At 55.5% G+C, this 5,293-nt stretch overlaps 1 protein-coding gene across 2 annotated transcripts, besides 2 other annotated features; it reads left to right on the top strand.

The window, feature by feature from the left end:
- Nucleotides 2,035–2,535: an enhancer, noted in NCBI's record as "H3K4me1 hESC enhancer chr1:153588740-153589240 (GRCh37/hg19 assembly coordinates)". NCBI's record gives its function as "activates a minimal SCP1, AML or CMV promoter by ChIP-STARR-seq in primed H9 embryonic stem cells {active_cell/tissue: H9 hESC(primed)}" and the evidence as "EXISTENCE:reporter gene assay evidence [ECO:0000049][PMID:30033119]".
- Nucleotides 2,305–2,354: a silencer, noted in NCBI's record as "silent region_1341". NCBI's record gives its function as "represses an Ori minimal core promoter by ATAC-STARR-seq in GM12878 lymphoblastoid cells {active_cell/tissue: GM12878}" and the evidence as "EXISTENCE:reporter gene assay evidence [ECO:0000049][PMID:35858748]".
- S100A14 (S100 calcium binding protein A14) lies at nucleotides 2,474–4,544 on the top strand. 2 transcript variants are annotated; one of them, NM_020672.3, is made up of 4 exons: nucleotides 2,474–2,504; nucleotides 2,863–2,970; nucleotides 3,418–3,564; nucleotides 3,777–4,544. In NM_020672.3, exons 2-4 carry the CDS (start codon nucleotides 2,941–2,943, stop codon nucleotides 3,912–3,914), a joined length of 315 nt encoding a protein of 104 aa, NP_065723.1. In that variant the 5' UTR covers nucleotides 2,474–2,504; nucleotides 2,863–2,940; the 3' UTR covers nucleotides 3,915–4,544. The 2 variants fall into 2 exon arrangements, with proteins under 2 accessions (NP_065723.1, XP_005245419.1); XM_005245362.2 differs by having other exon boundaries at nucleotides 2,474–2,566.
- The last annotated feature ends 749 nt before the right edge of the window (nucleotides 4,545–5,293 follow it).

Raw genomic sequence — 5,293 nt, 5'->3', positions numbered from 1 at the left:
TGTTTCTTACTTACACCCCATCCTGATTTCTTTTCTTGAGACCAGAGAGTGGGAAAGCTCTCTCTTGACCTGAGGATGGATCTGAAAATTATGAGCCCCTTGAGGACAGGGAATGTTATTCATCTTTGAATTCCGCAGCATCTAGCACCAGGTCTTGTACAGAGCAGGTGCCCAATAAATGGTTGAATGAATATATGAAAAGTAGAGGCAGAGGGCTGGGCACAGTGGCTCACGCCTGTAATCCTAGCACTTTGGGAGGCTGAGGTGGGTGGATCACTTGAGGTCAGGAGTTCGAGACCAGCTTGGCCAACATGGCTAAACCTCATCTCTATTAAAAATACAAAAATTAGCTGGGCTGGTGCCTGTAATCCCAGCTACTCAGGAGGCTGAGGCAGGAGAATCACTTGAACCCAGGAGGAGGAGTTTGCAGTGAGCCGAGATCGCACCATTGCACTCCAGCCTGGGCGATAGGAGCAAAACTCCATCTCAAAAACAAAAAACAAAACAAAACAAAAAGAAAAAAGAAAAGTAGGGGCAGAGATGTGGGGCAGGAGAGGTGACTCGGGCTCAGCTGCATGGTCCTGCTCTGCTTCTTTTTTCTTGGAGTTTGTCCGTTGGATGACAATGATAGTGGTGAACAGGTATGGAGGGCTTACTAAGTACCAGGTGCAGTGCTAAACATTTTGCCTGTATTGTCTTAGTTAATTCTCACAGTCCTTTGAGGAAGGCACTATTTTTAACTCCTGTATTAAAGATCAGGACACAGATCTTAGTTAAAGTCATAAAGACAAGAATAGGTGGATTTCAGAGCTCTGATTAACCAGGATCCTCTCTGGCTGGGTGCTCAGGAACACTAGGGCCTCCTCCCCTTACCCTCTGGAGCAGTGGGGAAGCCAGAAGGAGGGGCCCGATGTTCTGCTCAAGGACCGTGGGGTGAGGGTGTGGTGGTGCCACCGGAGGCAGAACTTGCCTTGCCTTCCTGGCTTGAGGGGCATATGGTGTACACGGCCACCACCAGAGGGAGCAGGGGCGGGCATCTCGGTGACCAGCCTCCCAGGGCTGTCACTGCCTCACTGGCAGGCATCCATGCAGGGCAGCTATGAGTCCAGAGGAACCTTTAGGCTGAGGGAGCTCCCTGACCCTCCGTTAGAGAGCCCCAGACTGAGACCTCAGAGAGACTCCCAGACTGGGAATCCAAAGGGCCATTGGCAGAGACATTCAAGAGGGGCTCCTGCACTGAAGGGCTCCCTTACCGTGAGAAGCCCTGTGAGGAACCCCCTAGCCTGAGCCTCCTCCTGAGGAACCCAGGCTAAGTCACTCTCAGAGGAACCCACAGGCTGAGAGACCCTCAGAGGGACCTGCAGGTTGAAGCCCTTCAGAGGAACTCTCAGAATGAGACATTGTTGGAAGGTCCTCTCCATTGAGACACACAGGGCCCCAGGTTGAGAAGGTGACATGAGGAGGGATGTAGTGGGGTGTGCTCTGATCTCAGCGTTTAGGAAAGGATCCTGGGAACTTTGGCTCTGGGCCGCACCCCATCCTTGCCCTGACTCATGCCTACTGCTCTGCCCTTCTTCCTACCCCCTCCCAGTGACTTCAGGTTCTAGGTGTCTGGGCCTGGGCAGGTGAGGAGGGCCACTGGGGTTGGGCTCTCTGGGATGTCATTCTGGGTCCTGGATGGGGGGCTGTTGCTCTGCAGCTGGGTTAGGGAAGGCATGGGGCTCTGAGGGAGGGAGAGAGAAACACGTGGCCCGACCAGTTTGGAGTTGGTGTTAGCTGCCAAGCAGCTCAAGTGGGCCTTGCATTTGTGCACTCTGGGCCGCTGAGGGGAGCTGAAGGGAGGTCAGGCAAACACTCACTCAATCTGCCTCCCTCCATCAGGCTGCCCTTCTCTGGCTTCCTCCTGATCCAAGTTCTCTACATTCATCTCTCTGCCTCCAGGACTGGTAAAGGCTGGGCTCTGGGATCCAGGCAGGCTTGAGTGTCAGTATCCAAGCTGGGCCTGACTGGGAGAAGTGTGCGTGTGCGTGTGTGTGTGTGTGTGTGTGCACGTGAGAGAGAGAGAGAGACAGACAGACACACATGGAGGGTACAGAGGCTCCTGCTTCTCCTTCCTGGTCACAGATTCAGACCCCCTCTCCTTCCCTGCCCTGCAGTTCGCCAGGGCCCTTCCACTTCCTAGGGTGACCCCATGAGGTCTCGAAGTCCTCTCTGTCTCCCCAGCCTTCTCGCTTCTCTTTCTCTGTGACTCTGCATGCTGATCGGAGGCCAGGGGTTTCCCAGCCCCAGCCCTCTGTGGCTCCCTCCTCGTGGCAGGGTCATGGTAGGCTCTGGAACTCTGGCCAGCGGAGGGTGGGGCCCATAAAGCTGGCTCATAGCCCAGGCTGCTGCAATAGCAGGGGTGGCTTAGGCCCAGCCCCCTGCCTCCCCTCCCTTCCCCCAGGTATAAGAGCTGAGCTCAGGTGAGCTGGCTCCTCCTGTCTTGTCTCAGCGGCTGCCAACAGGTAAGGAAACCCAAGGCTTTTCACCCAAATATACTGCCTGCTGTCCAGAGGGCACACTTAGGGTAAGAGCTGGGGGATCAGATCCTGGAGGTTGGTGTGTGTGTTTCAAGCAGAGGTGGGTGGTTGGAGGAGGTGGAAAGAATTAAGCTAAGGTGAGTTCCAAGGGATTCCCCCTAGATGCGTTGGCCTGGGGGATATGACCTTGGCTCCTGAAGCCCAGGCGGGGCCTGGGCCTATGTGGTGTTGGTTTTGAACCCCTGGTGAGGCACAGAATATCTGAGATGGAGCCAAAGGGGGCAGCTGAGAAAGAAATGCTAGACTCTCTCCTCAGCTCAGGCCTACCCCCTCCTCTAAGCAGATCATGAGCCATCAGCTCCTCTGGGGCCAGCTATAGGACAACAGAACTCTCACCAAAGGACCAGACACAGTGGGCACCATGGGACAGTGTCGGTCAGCCAACGCAGAGGTGGGCTCATTCACTCCTGGCCTTTCTGCTCCCACACTCCTCTCCTTCACCCTGAGGGTCTATGTCCCCCCACTGACTTCTGCCCTTCACCTTGGCCTTGCCCTGCACCCCAGACCCTGTGAGTGAGATGTGAACCCTCTTCTGAGGCCCACACAGGGTGATGCAGATGGAGTCCTCCTGGGAAGAGGATGCCTGGGTGCATGCTGGGACCTGCTCTGCCTGCGGTGGGGGGTGTGGGGAGGGAAGCCTTCCCCAACCTGTAGCTGCTGTGGCCTGGAGGCCGAGCAGGGGGTGGGGGAGAGGGGCTAGATTCTGGGCTCTGGAGTGGGTGGGAGCTGTGTGCCTTCCAGCTGCCTTCTGCCCTGGGGGCTTTGCTAGGCTCCTGGAGAAGCAGGGTTTTGGGGTGCATGGAGCTTCACTGATGTTTGTGATGTCCCCTGCCCTCAGGATGCTCAGGAATTCAGTGATGTGGAGAGGGCCATTGAGACCCTCATCAAGAACTTTCACCAGTACTCCGTGGAGGGTGGGAAGGAGACGCTGACCCCTTCTGAGCTACGGGACCTGGTCACCCAGCAGCTGCCCCATCTCATGCCGGTATGGACGGAGCACACCCCACCTCAGCCAGTACCCTGACTTCCCAAGCAAGTGCTCCGGGACCCCACCCACACTGGCACTTGCAACCCCCAGCTCTTCCCCCTTGCCAGTGCTAGGTAGCCTCTGCTCCTGCTGTCTGCCCGTGGGCAGGGTGGGGTGGGAAGATTGGAAGGTGCTGCATCCCTGAGCCATGGTTTCTTCACTCCCCTCAGAGCAACTGTGGCCTGGAAGAGAAAATTGCCAACCTGGGCAGCTGCAATGACTCTAAACTGGAGTTCAGGAGTTTCTGGGAGCTGATTGGAGAAGCGGCCAAGAGTGTGAAGCTGGAGAGGCCTGTCCGGGGGCACTGAGAACTCCCTCTGGAATTCTTGGGGGGTGTTGGGGAGAGACTGTGGGCCTGGAGATAAAACTTGTCTCCTCTACCACCACCCTGTACCCTAGCCTGCACCTGTCCTCATCTCTGCAAAGTTCAGCTTCCTTCCCCAGGTCTCTGTGCACTCTGTCTTGGATGCTCTGGGGAGCTCATGGGTGGAGGAGTCTCCACCAGAGGGAGGCTCAGGGGACTGGTTGGGCCAGGGATGAATATTTGAGGGATAAAAATTGTGTAAGAGCCAAAGAATTGGTAGTAGGGGGAGAACAGAGAGGAGCTGGGCTATGGGAAATGATTTGAATAATGGAGCTGGGAATATGGCTGGATATCTGGTACTAAAAAAGGGTCTTTAAGAACCTACTTCCTAATCTCTTCCCCAATCCAAACCATAGCTGTCTGTCCAGTGCTCTCTTCCTGCCTCCAGCTCTGCCCCAGGCTCCTCCTAGACTCTGTCCCTGGGCTAGGGCAGGGGAGGAGGGAGAGCAGGGTTGGGGGAGAGGCTGAGGAGAGTGTGACATGTGGGGAGAGGACCAGCTGGGTGCTTGGGCATTGACAGAATGATGGTTGTTTTGTATCATTTGATTAATAAAAAAAAATGAAAAAAGTGAAACATGTTGTCTTGACTGGACACCCCCTCCCTGAGGGTCCACGGGTGAGAGGAGCTTGGGGGTGAAAGGCAAAGTCATTGGTAGGGTGGGGCACGTGGGGCTGGAGTGGTTGGCTGTGGAAGTGAATGGGGACTCACTTTTCCCTATGGGTTTGGGTTGAGGGTGGTACCAGGTCCAAAAGGGCAACATGGTCCTCTCTGAGGGACAGGCTCCTCTTTGCCAATGGGCGGGCCCTCTTATAGGAGAGGAGGGTATGTGTGCACACTTGGGGAAAAGGATATTAGTCCAGGTGTTCTGAGCCCTGGCTGGCACAACCAGGGAAATGGGGTGGGTGGGGGTGGGGGGCGGTTAGAAACAGGCTGACTGGCCTGAGTTTGAATCTCAGATCTGCCACTTATCATTGGAATTTTGGGCATGCTCTTAGTATCAGTTTCCTCATCTGTAAAATGGGGGATATGAATATTACTTCCACAGGATTGCCAGGAGGACAATGCCACACATCATGTAAAGCACTTACAGAGAGCCTGACACATGGTGAGTGCCCAGTGACCCAATATCATTCCCGCTGGAGTGGGCAAGTGGGCCCCTCTTTGGTTTCAGCTGCTGCCCTAGTGTAGGGAGGTCGAGCTGGCCAGTTTCCTTGGGTATCTTAGGGAAACGGTGGGGTGTGGGGAGTTTCCAGAGGAGTCTTCTGGTGTACATGAGGGATCTTAGGGCTGGGTCTCAGTAGAGCTGATGGGTCAGACTAGAG

Source organism: Homo sapiens, chromosome 1 (assembly GCF_000001405.40).
Source record: "Homo sapiens chromosome 1, GRCh38.p14 Primary Assembly".
Lineage (NCBI taxonomy): Eukaryota > Metazoa > Chordata > Mammalia > Primates > Hominidae > Homo > Homo sapiens.
Note: the sequence above shows the minus strand (reverse complement) of the source record. Positions and strands in the feature narration are given on the sequence as shown.